We start from the raw sequence: 18,415 nt of genomic DNA, 5'->3' as shown, positions 1-18,415 counted from the left end.
TTGAATCTACTGAGAAAGCACTGTGTCGACTAGTGAAGGGTTCCAGGCCTGGTGAAAAAGGTTCTGAGATCAATTAGGGAAGTTTGGGGAAAAGGAGAAATGTCTGCCCATTTGGATCTATTCCTTACAACTTTCACAGGTAAAACTTGAATGTCCCATCTAGCCTTAGGGCCTATGATAATTTTCTTTAAATAATTATTATTATTATGTCCAGTAGCTTCTTTTCAGTATTTTTTATGAACCCATTTTATCTCCTTAGTTTTCATCTATATACACTTCCTTTGTGATTTTATCTAGTCTCATAGCTTTAAGTATGACTTAAAGGTTACTGACTTCCAAATTATTATCTCCAACCCAGAACTCTCCCCTAAATTCTAGAACTATGTCTGCAACTGCCTGCTCCACTGTATGCTTATTAGATATCGCAAATGTAAGATCTTAGGCTAAAAGTAAACTTCTCATGTCCTCCTCCAACCTGTTCTCTGCACCAACATGGGTGGCCATCAAGAGAGTGAAAATGATGGCTGAGCAAGTCTAGAAAGAGAGATGGATGAGATGACCCATCTCTCCCCATCCAGGTATACTGGCATGGAAGAAACCTCAAAATCTCCCTACAATCTCTCTACGGCAACAGAGATCATTGACAGTAAAGAGCCACCATGCCTGCCGGGGACTCCATAGCAGAAGCTCAGGGGTGACTGTCCAGAGAGAGGAGGGAGGAGGGATGCAGGGAGGCTGCTGTGCCAACGATGGCAGAGATGTGGAGATGGCCAAGCCTCACGAAGAGCTGTTATCATGGTCTGAATTTTGGGGTGCCCCCAAATTCATATGTTGAAACCTAATTCTCAATGTGATAGTATTAAGAGGTGTGGCCTGTAGGGAAGTGATTAAGTCATGAGGGTGGAGCCCTCGTGAAAGGGATTAGTGAACTTATAAAAGAGGCCTGGGGGAGCTTGTTTGCCCCTTCCACCATCTGAAGATATGGCTAGAGGTGTCATGAAGCAGAGAGTGGGCCTTTGATCTTGGACTTCCCAGCCTTTAGAACTGTGAGAAATAAATTTCTGTTGCTTACAAATTACCCAGTCTAAGGTTTGAGCAGCCCAAGTGGACTAAGACCCTGGACAGGCTCTGTGAGCCGCACGAGATAGCACCTGCTCCAAGAGAACACACAACGGACACCACAGTAGGGAGTGCCGGGACAATAAAGACTGATAACCAAACACTAAGCTGGATGAGATCTCTCAGTGCTGTGAGGTCTGGAGGACAGAACATGAACCAGGTCCTCCTGCCCTCCACCATGATGCTACATAATTCTCTCTCCTAACCAAGAGCCAATGGGGAGCAAGGAAGAGGAAACCTGAGAAAAAAGAGCAGTACAGTCAGGGAGTCTGAAATCTGTACAGAAATAAAATGAAACAAAAAAATGAACTCATTGAATATTTACTCAAAAGACAACATTTTCAACCCTGCAGAAACTGAGCTACCTTGAAGTAGCAAAATCATATTCTCTCTTATCCACAGAAACGGTGAGCTGATGACCAAGTTGAATTTATCTATAGAAAGAATGAAAAAAAAAATCCTCTTTATGACCAAGTTGGGACTGTAAATTTCAAACCCACTAAATACATAAAGAGAACATATAAATACATATGGCTGTTGAGCTCACTCCAAGGCCAGCCTGTCTCTGTTACAGTTGTACTTTAATGTTTAAATAAATTATAAATTTAAAATATGTGTGATATTTAAATAAATGCTCAGCAGCCACAACAGGATATAAGCAAACCTCTGTTGTGAGTTTCCAGAAAAAAAAAAAGAAAACCTATTGTTGAGACTCTAAATAACAGAGCTTATATTTCCAGGCAGCATTTGTTGGCCACATCCACATAAGGCCAAAGGTCTGTTTCTGTTAGCAACACCCTATTGTCTTGCCCAAAAGCAATCATTAGTGAGATCAATATGTTCAGCAATCTAACAAAACACTGGAAATACTGTAGCCCTCAAATGCCACAATGCTTCCCAAAGTCACTGATGGTCAGCACAAAGCAGTAATGACAGATATCTACACAGGCTGCTTTCTTTGTTACCATCCTAAAGCAATTTTTAGCCCACGTATAAGTGGAGAACACCCGTTGTCTAATGGCTATTGCAATGGAGTATTGTTATTTTTTTCTCTGTTACTGCCTATGAACGCTTCAGATGGAAATGACTGTGATTATGAAGGGACAGACAGCAAATCTCCTTCCCCTGGGAGTAAATAGAATGAAATCCCATTCCTTTATAATGACCCATAAATATTTATGTTTTATTGTCCACTAGTCTTTGCATTACAAAAGAGGCATATTCTTTTATCTTTCATTATTTAAAGAATAAATTTAGACTTTATATTTACAGTGTACAAATAATATTGGATTTCAGGGTCAATTTTTCTGTTTTAAATTACTTCCAGCTTGTAATAAAAAATGCAAATTTTCTAAAAGCAGAATTAAACAATATGTTAAGAGCCTCGAGAATAAGATTCTCAGATCCTGGTTATGTATAAGACTTAAATATTCCCCTTAGATTCAAGCTATTCATTTGATTTACGAACATGTTATTGGCTGAAAATATAATTGAGGCATGAAGAGGCTGAATGGTTGTCAGTGAAGGAATAGCGAACTGCTTCAATTTCTAGACTGGAAAGATGTTGGCCAGGCACAGGCATTTTACATTTACTCTGCAAATAGTTAAACTTTATAAAATGTAAGTCTCAAGGAATTTAATTTTTCATGAAATACTGGCCATAAATAATCACCATGTGCCCTGCTGGGATAAAGGGACAAACCCTTCCATTTATTCCACCCAAGTGTTATAATACTACGCAGAGGGGAAATTCTTGTCCACATGGTATGGACTATGTTGGTATTATAAGAAAACCGCAACCACTACCGTAAGCAGAATTAAACATAAAGCCCCTAATCAATGGAGAAAAACATACTTATTAGGCAAATTGAGGGTAATTTTAGAATGCAAAACAGAATGCAGTTTGGCTAATCTTTTATTTGTACATCACTTGTTCTCACAGTCCAAACCAGACCCTGTTTCTGTGGCATAATATACCTTCAAATTCCGTAATTCAGTATGGACAACCATGACAAACACTAATGAATAGAGCATGCAAGCTACTGTTCTGGTTCTGATGGCTCACTGGTTTTTTAAATGTTGAGGCTTAAATAGTGTGAAGGATTTCTCAAGGGTAAAACAGTAAATAGAAATGCTCAAACTGCCAGGGGACCCTCCTTCTTTTGTGGTCAGGAAATTGGTTTCTTGATCATCTCAGAGGTAAAGAGAATACATGAAGAGTGCACCCAAACATGCAATATGCCACCTTACGCAAAATAAATGGTGTAGGCATATCATTGTATTTCTAGGTAGCATGGAACCATCTGGGATAAATGAAGCACACTTTCCAATAAAGAAAGGCTGATTTAAGGAGGAAACACGAAGGAACAACTGTTAACTTATAGGTGTGTTTTTTAATAATTAATATAAAATCAAATGAAATCAGACTCCCTTTGCAAGCACAATGTCACAATATGCCTTCTACAGGGTGTAGGAGTCCATATTTCCTGAATAGAATAGAACAGGAAAATGCCACCTAAACATCTAAATATTCATATAGGGAGGAGAGATTTTAAAATCTCAATTAAAATTTGAATTTAAGTCTATGTTAAGTCTAAGTTTAAGCCTAGAAGGTTAATTCATATCAAAGATGTGTTTTTGCGATTTTTATTTCAGGAAATAGATAAGGGGAGTTTTTTTAATGCAGGTTTATTTAAGGTACAAAATAAAAGTGAGAAGAGCAATATAATTTCTTTGACTGTAGTACTGACCCACTGATAGTCTTCTCAGAAGGGTTCAAATAATTCATCATCTTAGCCATCTCCAGGAGAGAATCAATATGCTATTTCCACCCTAATCATTCATCCTGAACTATAATTCTTTCCTAAAGAAATGAAAGATGTTTAACACAGTACTAAAGGTACGAATATCTTGAATTAGTAAACCCTTCCACTGACATACGAAAATTACAGATGGGTGACAGACCAAACCACCAGAACTTTATAAGGAAATGCATAAATTGAAATGTGAAGGTAAACCAATTCTAAAATATTTAGTGTCACATAAACTTCTGAATTGTAGCTTATTTCCTTAAAATCATTAACATTTAGACCTAAAGAGAAAACAAAATGGACTTCAAAATCGAAACAAGTGATTGGAGAATTCAGGCAGACAAGCACTTTTGGCCTCATGACTTACATAACCTGGGACTTGAAATTGCCAAATAACAGCATCCCTTCTCAATTTCTCTTTGTGAACATAAACAAACCCTTAGAGTAGAACAGATGACTCAAAAAAGGAAATATTGAGGACACAGAGATATTGATTTTAACATACCAAATATCAATAAGAAAAGAAAAATAAGTTATTATAGAACAGTTTACAATAAAAAAAGCAGGTGCAATTATTTTACAACCAGCACAAACAAGTCCCAGATATCAGAATTTGGTGCCTATATGAAGGTTCCTGGCACATACTAGGTACACGAGATATATGTTGGATGGAAGAATGAATGAAAGAATGAAGAGGAAAAATCTATTTTTAGAAAGTGATTTGATGATTAATTTGGTCTTACCTAGGACTACTACATTATTTGCAGGACCAATATAAAGTAAAAATGCAGGACTCCTTGTTTTAAAGTTTTTAAAATTTCCTTCTCTACTTTGTACACATTTTAATCACTGCATGATCACACCTTCACATGGTTTTATGTACTTGTCTGTGACTCCACAGTAGCCTGGTAATGTCTCCTTGTCCCTAATCTAGTTCCTGGCCTTTGGTAGATACTCAATTTTTAATTGAGATAAACAGTCCCCATGTCTGGGTCTCTCTTTGTAATTTTATCTTCTTGAAGGGTTTCAAGCTTGAGTGTGCAATTCAATTTTATTATAATAAATTATAATGCTAATTTCAGCCAGAGTCAAGAGTCCTAAATTGAAGAAGACATTGAACTGGATATTGCCAACATTTAATTCTCCATGAAATATCAGGTCTGCCTAATCCTTTAATTCATTACACCATTTTCTTCAGTTCATTAAATGCTTCAATTTGCTGGGAAAGTTTTCTTCTCAGAGGCCAAACTGCACTCACTTGAACAAGAGTCAGTCCTTGATGTACCTAAACCCCAAATAACGAAAATCATGAATCACTTTAGTCTTGTTTTGACAACCCACTTTCAGGAGAATAGAAGCCAGCATGTTTGAGGGGGAAGTTATCTTGGACATTGTCAAGTTCTGCATCCATGCTTTAAAAATGATGGGATTGAGGCTCAGTAAACTGAAGAGACCTGTCCAATGTCACATGGGGAGTCAGTAGCAAAGCCATCATGAGATTCCAGACATAGACTCCTACAAATAGTTGTTGTTTCCATGATACCACAATCACCTTTTCTCTCCAAGCTTCACAGCGGAGACAGCTGGTTGTTTCCCTGTGTGCACTCTCTCCTTTCCCCTTAATATAACCCAATTACTTTAGTGGGGCATGTGGCCACCTGGAAGAAACAGGACCTTTCCCAGCCTTCCCTGCGGCTAGATGGGACTACATGGCTAAGTTCTGACTCAGGAGACGTAAGTAGAACTATAGTGTGCATACTTTGGAAACTGCTATTTGAAAAAGGAACTAGCTCTTCTTTGGCTACTTTTCCTTTCTACTGACTGGAATGCTGACATAATGACTGGATTTCAAGCAGCCATTTTGGACTATGAGGTAGAAGCATTGAACTACAGTTGGTAGAGAAATATAATAGAAGGAGCTTGGGTCCCTAACACCATGCCATATAAACCCTGGACTACCTATCTCCAGATTTATTTTACACAAGAGAAAAATAAATTCTATCTTGTTCAAACCATAATTGTTTTGAATTTTGTGTCACGTGCAGACAAACCTGACCCTAACTGATGTAACTTACATGCCTTATCTTTTCCTCCATTTGACTTCATCTACTTGGAGATCTCACCTCCACCACTACTAATAGGTCTACTTTATCTTTCTCATAAATCAGAACAAGTCCCTGTCTGACCCATCTCATCTGTGAGGTCTCATTACTGCTGACTCAGGAAAGTAAGTTCCGGTACAGATCCTATTTTGGCCTGATCACCTGTGCTTTCTGTGTAACAACCTACAAAGTCCACAGGTATTCAGGTCCTGCTGGATTCTTATTCACTAATTGGGATTCAATTGTGCTCAACGTTCCATATTTATCAGGCAATGGAGGACCATGAAGCATTGAAGAATAGATTTTCACTAGAACCTGAACAAAAAATGGTTCTTGTTAGCCCTACATTAACCAGAAAATTTAATTCGCTACAATTACCCACCCAACACACACACATACACACACACACACACACTCTCTCTCTCTCACTCACTCACCAAGCCTTCCTGCTAAATGAGATCCTGTGTTTCCAGGTTATCTTTGTAAGAATATGCACAATGATCCTCAGTTAACACAGAGAAAACAGTTGGAAAAGGTACAGGAAATTTCTAAGAGTCAGGCTACCAGTCAGTGAGCACCTTATTTCCTGATGCAAGGATTCATGAAATAGTAAGCCACACTCCCTCGCCATTCAAGCCTGGGATGGCTGCCACATTTTTTAAAGATGTTTTTATCAATGGTGTCTAAATGTAGAAAGCTGTTTCAAAGAACAACATTACTGAATAACAACCACAACAAGAGACACACACTTTATGGGAAGTAGAATATCTGTCACTGTCCAGGGCTGGAGGAAAATTTGGAGTTGGTAGCATTTCTCCAAGCTGTCTGTTGGCCCTAACACCAGGTGTGAGACTCATTTAGGCACATGTGTACTTGACAGCAAATGCCCCGCCCCATTTGGGAGACCTTTGGGTGGAGGGCAGCAAGGAAACCCAGATGGTCTGGCTCAGCTGGAAACCGGCTTAAATTACTAACATCTGTATTCAGTTTTACAGTTCACTCAGCATTTTTATATAAATCATGTCATCTGATTAAAATATTCATCCCCAGGGTTTCCTTCACCCCACAGCTCTCTTAGAAGCAGACGTGGCCTTTTTATCAGAAGTGCTAATAAAAAGTGGCCTGTTACTAGAAGCATAATGTTGATGAAACTCTGAATAGGCGTTAAGCTCTAATTTGTTACTGCTCACACAATTTCATTTCAGGTTGCTAGTTCTCATGAGGGTAAAGTTAATATTCATGGGGGTAATAGAACAATAACAATAAGAACAAGAATAGTAACAGTAATAGTGGCCACTTCCTCTCACTAAGCAAAGCTCTCTTTGCCCTTATCCTAAGTTCCTCCTTTATCAGATGCATTGCATTCTTGTATGTTTTCCTCCACCTCCTCTAAATCAGTTGATCCTCTCACACTTGAGTATCCTCCTTCCCAAGGGTCTTTGTCCCTCCACCATGGTTCTCATGTCTGCAGGCAATTCTTCTCAGGCCTTCACTTCTTTCTCCATGCTCTCATCAACCACTACTGTGATTTTTCTTTGAACCTTTGCTAATATATCAACATTAGCAAACAACCATTTGCTAACTGTCAGGCAATGACAGGTCATGGGGTCCCTCAACAGAGAAACAGAGGTGACAGGTTTGGGGGACTTAGCTAGGCGAGGCAATAGGAAAGGCAGATGCAAAATGTCAAATCCTTGTCCTAGGCTTGTCTGCAACTCGCTTGCCATCACCTTTACCTCCTGTAGGTGTGGCTGCACGGCCCTTATGCAGTAAGAGGGCAACCCTGAAGCTTCACACATGAGAACTGGCTGGAAAAATCCTTAAGCGCTCATCAAAGTTCAGCAGGATAAGAAAAAATTAAATACTTGCACAGCAAAGTGATAGATAAGAGGAGGACTATCTCTAAACTGAGAATGAAGTATGGCATTCTATTTATATGTATAAAATATATACACATATATCATATCATCTATATCTGTCTGAAATGTTTACCCAGCCCCAGAAGAGTCTCCTGTATATAATGCAAATACTTGATTAATGTCTCTGACACACACGTAAATTAAAAGCCAGACTTATTTTTCTGGTAAAAGCTCACTGCCGCAAGCACCACCTCTTAAATTCCAATACAAAAAAGAATGAATCACACACTCAGAACCATTTTCTCTTCCAAACAACTATATTTTTTATTTTTATTTTACTCTTAAATTCTAAGAAGCTGTCTTACCTACGCATAAATCATACTACCAATGTGCTTCTTTTTATTCTATAAAATATAAGCATATTTCACTAGAGAGTCTATAGAGAGCTCCATCCTTCAGCTAATATTTTGCTTTATTACTAAATCTCACTTTTATAAAATGACAAGCATTACATTTCAGTCTCTTCAACATCTATGCAGTTTATGAAAATTAGTAAGGCCTAATTTTGATTTCATTTGCTTTTGTACCCCAGCAAGCCTGGGACACAGAAATCAAGACTGAGGCAGCTGTCCTATCAAAAGTTTTTGGGCAGGTCACAACCTAAAAAGAAAAGTCATCTCATTGGTGGTCACTCCAAACATCTGATTCAGCTGTGAATATAAGGGCAGAGTTGACCTGTACATGACCTAGAAATGATACTGGCATTATAACATATTCTTCACACACACACACACACACACACACACACAGATTCATAAAGTGAAAGGAGACAAATGTGTGTTGTGGTGTCTGCAAAACAGTAGCATTCTCCCCCTGGGGCCAGGCTTAAATTGCAGGTTTAAATCCCTCCTCCTTAGAACTTACATAGTGATCCTGGAATACTGGTACTAAGGGCTTCGGGTGGAATAAAGAAGGGGCAAATTTGTTCACAAGGCTAGAAATAAAATATTCCAGTTGTCAGTAGTGTCACATTTGAACGCCTATCCCATCTTCCTGCCCAAAAATGAGGGCCTCCTTGTTTGTTCTGGAAATTAGCAGACATTTGGTAAAATTAAGTAAGCAAAGCCATAGAGAGAGATTTCTGAATTGTGAATGCCGACCTTTGCTCTGACACTGTAGTTGTTAGTTATTTATCTATTCAACTCTAAGATGAAGTCAATGGCAGTTCTCTTCCTTGTGAGAATATGAAGAGATAATTCACAAAAGAACACTGACTGCTAGGTTGTAAAATCCAAAGATTTTTGTAAGTACAGAGCCATCACCTCACATTATTTATTAATGTTAGATGGAACATTAATAAATAGTTAGGGGCTATGGAACAAGGTGCTTTTCTAAGCAGGTGGAGCTCAGCGGAAATCTGAAACATCATCAACGTCCATAACAAGCACAAATCATACTCAAGGGCTAACGTGTTGAAAAGTCAGCAGTTTCTTGTTTAATAACCTAACGTCGAGGGAAGGCATCTGAGTAACATAGAAAACATTCAGCTAATGTTCAGAATATATCCTCCTCTATATTTTCTGAGATTTAGTAAGTTATTTTGGCTTGTTTCAAAATTAATATAAACATTAAATGTGTCAAAAAAGATACATGAAATGTCAGCTGATATAATTTAAAATGATGTCAGTTCAACAAAATTATACATTGTTCCTTTTGTATTTTAGTTAAAAGGACGTAAAAACATTGGTTTTGCTTTCCTCTTGCCTGTCATGTACTCCTATTTATTTCAGTATTATGCATACATGAATAATACATACAATATCTGCGTATCCTTTACCTGAAATGTTTGGGAAGAGAAGTGTTTCAGATTTTGGAGGATTTGGGAATATTTGCATTATACTTACTGACTGAGCATCCCAAATCTGAAAAACCCCAAATGCTTCAGTGAGCATTTGCTTTGAGCATCATGTTGATGCTCAAAGAGTTTTGGATTTTGGAGCATTTTGGATTACAAATTTTCAAACTTGGGATGCTCAACTTGTATTACTTTATGAAGTCCTTTGCTGTGACCTTTTTCATAAAATATATTTTGATTTTAACTTTTCTGGTTAAATAAGACAATTTAAAAAATATGATTATCTTCTAATGATCAAATTTAGAAGCCGTTCAAGATGTTCTTAGTTTTCAACAATTGAAGTGATTGCATTACAATTCAACTTACATAAACCACTAAGCTAGAATGACTTAGAAAGTAATTTATTTAAAAAAAAAAAAAGAAAGAAAAAAGTGGTTACATTATTAGAAATCCTTCTTTTTTTTTTCTGAGATAGAGTCTTGCTCTGTCGCCCAGGCTGGAGTGCAGTGGTGAGATCTCGGCTCACTGCAAGCTCCACCTCCCAGGTTCACGCCATTCTCCTGCCTCAGCCTCCCAAGTAGCTGGGACTACAGGCGCCCGCAACCACACCCGGCTAATTTTTTGTATTTTTTAGTAGAAACAAGGTTTCACGGTGTTAGCCAGGATGGTCTCTATCTCCCGACCTCGTGATCCGCCCGCCTAGGCCTCCCAAAGTGCTGGGATTACAGGCGTGAGCCACCGTGCCCAGCCAGAAATCCTTCATTTTTTAAAAGCCTAATGATCAGTTCTAGAGAATACTCAAGAATTATATCTTAAGAACACAAGAACTTATTTGTGACACTAAGTAAAACACATGGCTTGGTAGATACTTCTGTTCTTCCTATCATACAGCCACAGATACTACATTATTGGAAAAACTGAATGAGTAGGAGCATACTGAAAAGCAACCGAAATACATTTACTTTAAAAACATGATCAATTGAGCTGAATTTTATTTTAAAACTAATTTTTTTTCAAGACAATACATCTTTACTTCAAGAACAGATTAAATTTTATGATTAACAATGGTAGGCTACTGACCTGGCAAGTATTTAAATGCAAAATTCTCAAACAACTTTTTAAGGAAGCTAAAGTCTAAAAAGATGTATTGTGTTGATTTTGAAAGTCTAAATGTAAATACATATAAAAACTACCAATGCAAACAGCTACTAGTCTGACTTCCCAGGGCAAATAAAAATCTATCCATTTAAGTATGTTCTAAACCTAGAAACAAAACTGTATCCAGTTAAATCCTGAACATCTATTGCTGAGAATTACTAGAGGATTCAGAAAGGCAGAGACAGATAATGGGTCTGGGGCTGACACCCATCCACAGAAGCAAGAAGCCTCATGGCTCATTCTGTCTAGAGCTGCTGGAACAAGAGTACCCATGTTCCAGTGACTAAGAGCTGGCCTGTTCAAGAAGGTGTGTTGAAGGGTTCTTTTGGTCAGAGGGTTCATATCTGGAATTCTACTCCAACCTTCTGTCAGTTCTCCATGTTGGCCTGTTTTTCGTCCTCAAGTCTACGGATCAGTAAAACTATGTTTCAAAGATCCCGTAACTTGTGTTTCCAATCCAGAAGTAAATATTATACATGTAAAATCTTAGTCCTAGAGAAATAGATATTGCAAGGAACTTAATGTCCTGTGTCCTCATTCTACTTAGAATGAGTGGTCAGGTCATCCTTTCCAAAGTGGAAGCATAGTTCTGTTTTCACCAGTAGCTGCAACCTGACATGAGTCACCACCACAATCAAGTTACAAAACAATTCCCTTACGACAAGGATCTCTCACACTTCCCTTTTAAAACCACACTCACCTTCCTCCAGCCATCCCACCCTAGCCTCGTCCATAACCTCTTGAACTACTCATCTATTCTGCATTTCTATCATTTTGTCATTTGGAGTGTTTTGGTGAAAGACATGCTTCCTCACTGCATCAATTTTGTGGAAATTCAATTTTCATGGCATTTAATTATTCCCCACCATCCACAGTAGGAAAAAAATATTTCAGAGCAACAAGAGCTGCATCCCTAACATTTCCCTTCCACTCAGAACACAGTGGACATGTTAATGTTGCATTAATAGCAGAAACTGTAATGATAGCCAAATAAATACAGAAGATTTCTCTACAACATCGTCTACTGCATCAAAACATAAAACCCTTATTTGAAAACACAGCAAGTGTTTTAAAAGCAATTTACTTACCTTATATTTAAATTAGCCATTAAAGAAGGACTGGCCCCACACATTGTTTTCACTTCCTCCCAAAATTTATATTAAGGTGTCAGGAAAGACAGCAGATATCATGATAAGCAAAACTGGGCTTAAGTCCCAGCTCTTAAGCAACTATGGGCTACATAGAGGTCAAGAGTTACTGTAGAATGATCTTAAATGTAACTACAAAAATGCAGCTCTGATAAGAGCTAATGGACAGAGACATGATGAGGGTGTTACGTGTGGTGAGATGGTGGCGAAGGTTTATCTAGTTAAGAAGGTCAAGACAAGCTTCCTTGAAGATGGGTTGCTTTAGCCGAGATCTGTGAAGAATGGAGGGAAGGATGGCCCTGGGGTGAGAATAGAATATGCAAAGGCCCAGTGGCAGGACAGAAGTTCAGACACAAGTACCTGAAAACTGGTCAGGGCCATTTCAGTGAAGAGAGTGAGGGATTACTGATGTGTGATGACACCAGAGAGCAGGGAGGAGGAAGAGCCCACAGTTCCATAGCTCCTGCTGTGTAGTGCAGTTTCTATTTTAAGGGCCACAGCAAGCCATTGAGATTCCAGCTTTTCAACATTTTTCTGGGTCTAGAGAAATACCTATTCTTAGAGTTGAATTTCTAAGAAATTTTTAAAATATTTCAGAACAATACATTTCTACCTTAAATAAGCCCTTTCCCATAATTTCAGTGCTTAGGCAGAAAAAACTATCTAATTATTTCATTTTTTTCATTTACTACTAATAGTAGAGCATCTGATTTTAAAACAGTTTTACTTAACGTGGACAGAAATTATTTCCCACTTGAAATTACTTTATATGGCTAATACATAATTATTTGTGGTATCAGAAATCACCCACCATTTTTCTTCCTTGAAAGCACACTCTTTTTAATATGCTGTAAGAAGGATCTTATCTTCAGTCATTTTCTCTTTGTGGGCTCCCACTCTAGTGCAAAAGTGCTGTGAATTTAATTCACATATACATCATCCCTAGATGAAGGATCAGAATACCTCAAATTATATCACATGATAGACTGAAACTAAAAAGGCTTTTCCCCAAGAACCCTGTCAATAACCAATCTTTAAAAAGAAGTCAACTTTGAGTGCCACAGACATTTACAATCATTGAAACCATTAAGATTTATGTAAGATACCTACATGTCTTCCCACTGTAGCGCACATCTGCCAAAATCGCTGTCAAAAATCTAAGCCCAATGCACAGTGCTGCTGACTTCAGGACAGAAATAATGATGTAAACAACATGAGCAGACCGCAAAAATCGTGCCAGGAAAGCAAATGATGCTGACTGGAGCCTGGAAAGGCAGAGCGAGAAGGGAGCCCTCCAGCCTGTTGCGGGCACAGGGCCGCTCCTGGTGAGGGGTTACAGAGCACTGTGTGCACACTGTTTTATTTTCTAGTCATCTAGCCTAACTGCCCATAAGCAGGTTTGGGTAGGTTTTATGGTGTGGAAAAGGGGAAATACCGCACAACAATTCTTTCTGGATCTTCTATTCTCTCGGGAACCACAGGCACAGTAGGGACTTTCTCCTACTCTTCTGAGCCACTTTCAAGCCAGTTAAGAAAGGGCGTGTAGCAGAGTTTTCAGCGACGTTTAGCAAAAGGGCGCTCGAGCTGTGGGCAAGCAAGGTCAAGCAAAGGGGTCCGCACCCTGTTAGGGCATCAGGGCTCCAGATTTCTGGAGTGTAGGAAGACATCATGGAGGTTAGTTTGAAAGGCTTTTTCTAACACGTATGACTGCATGCACTGTGAACTCCAAAAAGTGTCTCATGCATAGGTTGCAATGTCACTCAGGATGGATGAGAGAGCCCTGGCTGCACATCCCTACATGCGCTCGCTCAGGAGTGCCCTGGACCACCTTGGAATCAGCCAGAATAGCCCTGATCTGCTAGTGGGACTGAAATGAAGTCAAACTGTAGGGGGTCCTCTTAACTGAATCTGACCAACAACCACCTAACCATTCATAGATGTTCCAGAGCCAACCCCTAGAATGGACAAGTGAACACTCAACACATACATGCACACACGTGAACACATATGCACACGGGTGTGCTGACCCATGATGGAACATGAGGCAAAAGGAAAAAAATGTGTGTTCCTACAGACACTTGTCAGAATATCCTCCCATATTTTGAACCAAGTGGAAAAAGTAAATAAAAGCTATACAATAAAAACATGACTATATATAATACCCACATGGCTCAATCTGCTCATACACCACTGTCAGCCCTCAGAAAACCCCTGCCGAGGGGACGGGAGCCCAGCCACAAGGACCAGGACCCACTGGCTGTTCCTGATGACTATAATACAGTGTCATAAAATAAACAGCAGCCCATTTTCATTTAAAAATTTGATGATTTGTTGTGAATTTTAATGTTATTTTTAACTTTTAAAAATAGGACATTAAAATATTATTTATCTTGATTACTGAGACTTTTGATGCCCCAGTTGTGAAAGCCTCACTCACCCCACCCTATTCTCCACCCTGTGATATACACTCCTTACAGCACACACATACATGCGCACACATCACACACATACATATATGCATGCCCACACACATGTTAGAACTGAACAAGATCTAACTTTTAGAGACAAGACACAGAGTTAATTTTCTCCTGACCTTCAGAGTGCATTTGGGGCCACTGCCCATTTGCAGCCCACAGCAGATAATGATCAAACTCAGCTGCACCAATGAGCAGCAGCAAGTCTCGGGCATACGAAGTCCTAGATTCTCAGAGGATGATCTGGCTGCAGTGACTCAGCAGTCCATCAGAAAGCGAGAAATGAAGCAGCAGTCACTGAAAGTGCTTTGTTAGCAAGTGCACGGATGCTCTGAATTAGACTCATGTGGTTCTTTATCTCTAGAAATACGATCAAACACAGCAAAATTGTCACTTAAATACAGCAAGAATATAAATTAGAGGACATGATGTTTATTCCAAATGGCTAAAGAAGGTCTCTGTTTTAACTGATCACTTGGTATTTTGTATTTGTCTATCTGTTCAAAAACATGGTCAAAGAAGTTGACATGTCCACATGTACTACCCTTAAAAGGGTGTCATTGTATTATAATTCATCACAGATGTAAACACACTCTTTAATTTAGTGAGATTCTGCTCTTTGCTAGACAAAGCATCAGGAACTTGGGATATGATCAGGACCAAAAAAAAAGAGTCCTGCATCTAAGAAAATTACATTCTAGAACCAAGAGTCAAACAATAACAAAACAAATCACTTATATAATTAATAGAGTATGTACACTGAGTTAATAGTGTCCCCCTAAAATTCACGTTCACCCAGACCCTGTGAATATGACCATATTTGAATCCAGGGTCTCTGCAGATGTTATCAAGTTAAGATGAGGTCATATTGGATTAGAGTGGGCCCTAAAGCCAATATGACTGGTGTTCTTATAATAAGGGGGGAAATTTGTACACAGAGACACACACAGAGAGAAGGGACCTCTGTGAATACAGAGGCAGTGATTGGAGGGATGCTAAATTTTGAAGTGTCTGGCGGATATCTAAATGGAGATGTAGATGTCAAGTGTGCAGCTAGATAAATGAATCCACAGTTCGGGAGAAAGGAGTGAGCTGGAAATATAAGAGTGGGAGTAGCAGACACACAGATGGTGTTAAAGCCACGAGAGCATGTGCAGGCAGACTGGGGCAGAGGATCAGCCACTGAGCAGGCATTCTGCTGTCAGAGGTGAGGCAGAGAGTGGGAACCAGGAGGCCACACACAGAAAACACAGCAAGAGGGACGCTGCCAGCCATGACAGAGGATGCTGCTAGGTCAGGGAGCAGGGGCTGAGAACTGGCGCCGCAGTTAGTACTGGTGATGTTGATACCTTTTGGTAAGACTGTGGAGATGAATCCTAATTAAAGTGAATTAAAGAGAGAATGGAAGAAGAGAAATTGGGTGCAATGAGTATAGACAATGCTTTCATAGAGTTTTACGGAAAAGGGGAGGAAGTTATTAATTTTATCTTGCGGGGAGCAAGTTATTAATTTTATCTTGCAAGAAAAGAGTCGAAAATTTCAAACTGGTTAAGTCCTTCAGTGATTGTATTACTAATTAATTTATTTCTTATAAATACCAAGCTATAACGTATACTATATATTATAATAATATATGTTATATAATTATGCATTATATAATTTATACAAATCAAAAAATCATAACTTTAAAATTATTTTTTTCCTTCAATTATATCACTCACATGAAATTTTGAGAAATTAATACGGCGCAATCTTCTACACCCTACACTCAGTTCCCCCCAGTAGCAACATCTTGGAAAATTATAATACAATATCACAATCAGGATACAGACATTGATACAATCTGCTGATCTTGTTTAATTTCCCTGTTTTTACCTAAACTCATTTGTGTGTATGCACGTGTGTGCACGCATATTTAGTTCTATGCAATTTTACTACATGTAGTTTCAGGCATCTGCCACCACAATCAAGTTACAAAACAATTCCCTTACCACAAGGGTCTCTCACACTTCCCTTTTAAAACCACACTCACCTTCCTCCAGCCATCCCACCCTACTTCATCCATAACCCTTTGAACTACTATTCTCCGTTTCTATAATTTTGTCATTTTGAGGTTTTATACATGGAGTCATGCAGTATGTAACCTTTGGGACTGGCTTTTTGCACTCAATCAATGAAGATTCATCAAGGTTGTTGTGTTTATCAGTACAGTTGACCCTTGAACTATGCAGGGGCGGGGGATGCCAACCCCAACGTGGTTGAAAATCCAGATATAATTTTTTTTTTTTTTTTTGAGACGGAGTCTCGCTCTGTCACCCAGGCTGGAGTACAGTGGCCCAGTCTCAGCTCACTGCAAGCTCTGCCTCCTGGGTTCACACCATTCTCCTGCCTCAGCCTCCCAAGTAGCTGGGACTACAGGCATCCACCACCATGCCCAGCTAATTTTTTGTATTTTTAGTAAAGACAGGGTTTTGCCATGTTAGCCAGGATGGTCTCGATCTCCTGACCTCATGATCTGCCGGCCTCGGCCTCCCAAAGTGCTGGGATTATAGGCGTGAGCCACCGCGCCCAGCCCCAGATATAATTTTTGACTCACTGAAACCTTAACCTCTACTAGCCTACTGTTGACCAGAAGCCTTACTGATAACATAATTCATGGATTAACATGTATTTTCTATGTTATATGTATTATATACTGTATTCTCACAATAAAGTAAGCTAGATAAAAGAAAATATTAAGGAAGTCACAAAGAAGAAAAAAGAGATTTACTTTTTTCTAGAGGAGAGTTGGTATTGTAGTCTCAGGGATGGCAGAGGCTGAAGAAAATCCACATATAAGTGGACCTGTGCAGGTCAAAGCTGTGTTGCTCAAGGGTCAACTGTGGTTTGTTCCTGATTACCGCTAAGTAGCAGTCTGTGGTGTGGATGTGCCACAGTTGTTTAATCATGTGCCCACGGAAGGCCTTCTGGATTATTTCCAGTTTTGGATTATTACAAATGAAGCCTCCGTGAGCAATGGTGTATAGGATTTTTTGTGTGAACGTAAGTCTTCATTGCTCTGGGATAAATGCCTGGGAATACAATCACTGGATTGCATGGTAATGGAATGTTTAGTTTTACATGAAACTGCCAAACTGCTTTCCAGAGTGGCTGTACCATTTCACATTCTCACCGGCAACACAGGTGGAGCCTAGTTTTTCCACATTCTCACCTGCGTTTGGTGATGTCGCTATTTTCTATTTCAGTCATTCTGATAGGTATATACAGTGACATCACATTGTTGTTTTAATTTGCATTTCCCAAACGGCTAATGATGTTGAACATCTGTATATCTTATTTTCCATCTGTACATCTTCTTCAGTGAGATGGCTGCTCATATCTCTTATCTACGTTCTAATTGGATTTTTTTTTTTACTGCTGAGTTTTAAGAGTTCTTTATGTATATTAGTCCTTTGTCAGATATGTGGTTTGCAAATATCTTCTATTAGTCTGTGGCTCATATTTTCATCCTCTTAGGGTATTTTGCAAAGCAGAAGTTTTTAATTTTGATGAGATCTAATTTATTAATTTTTTTCTTTTCCGGATCATGCTTCTGACACCCAACCCAAGAATTCTTTGCTTAGTCCTAGATCCTGAAGATTTTCCTCCTATTCTTTTTCCTAAAAGTTTTATGTTTCACATTTAAGTCCAGAGTACGTATGTATGTGTCTATGTGTATATATAGTATACACACACCTAGACACACATGCACATAGAGAGAGAATATTAAAATAAGTCCAAAACTTTTTATAAAATCACCTATTAATTTTAGTACGTGTCTTTCAAGTCCTGGATTTGTTATAAAGTTTATATTTATAGATCTGTATTGTAAAAGTTTATATGCACACATA

At 38.8% G+C, this 18,415-nt stretch overlaps 1 protein-coding gene across 13 annotated transcripts in view, besides 2 other annotated features; it reads right to left on the bottom strand.

Moving 5' to 3' along the window:
* MTUS2 (microtubule associated scaffold protein 2) overlaps positions 1-18,415 on the bottom strand; it is a 685,985-nt gene that overhangs the window by 328,360 nt on the left and 339,210 nt on the right. The gene's annotated exons all lie outside the window — the stretch shown is intronic.
* Positions 14,562-14,856: a silencer, noted in NCBI's record as "tiled region #9111; K562 Repressive non-DNase unmatched - State 24:Quies". NCBI's record gives its function as "represses a minimal TATA promoter and a strong SV40 promoter by Sharpr-MPRA in K562 cells {active_cell/tissue: K562}" and the evidence as "EXISTENCE:reporter gene assay evidence [ECO:0000049][PMID:27701403]".
* Positions 14,562-14,856: an enhancer, noted in NCBI's record as "tiled region #9111; HepG2 Activating non-DNase unmatched - State 24:Quies". NCBI's record gives its function as "activates a minimal TATA promoter and a strong SV40 promoter by Sharpr-MPRA in HepG2 cells {active_cell/tissue: HepG2}" and the evidence as "EXISTENCE:reporter gene assay evidence [ECO:0000049][PMID:27701403]".

Source organism: Homo sapiens, chromosome 13 (genome assembly GCF_000001405.40).
Source record: "Homo sapiens chromosome 13, GRCh38.p14 Primary Assembly".
NCBI classification, from domain to species: domain Eukaryota; kingdom Metazoa; phylum Chordata; class Mammalia; order Primates; family Hominidae; genus Homo; species Homo sapiens.
Note: the sequence above shows the minus strand (reverse complement) of the source record. Positions and strands in the feature narration are given on the sequence as shown.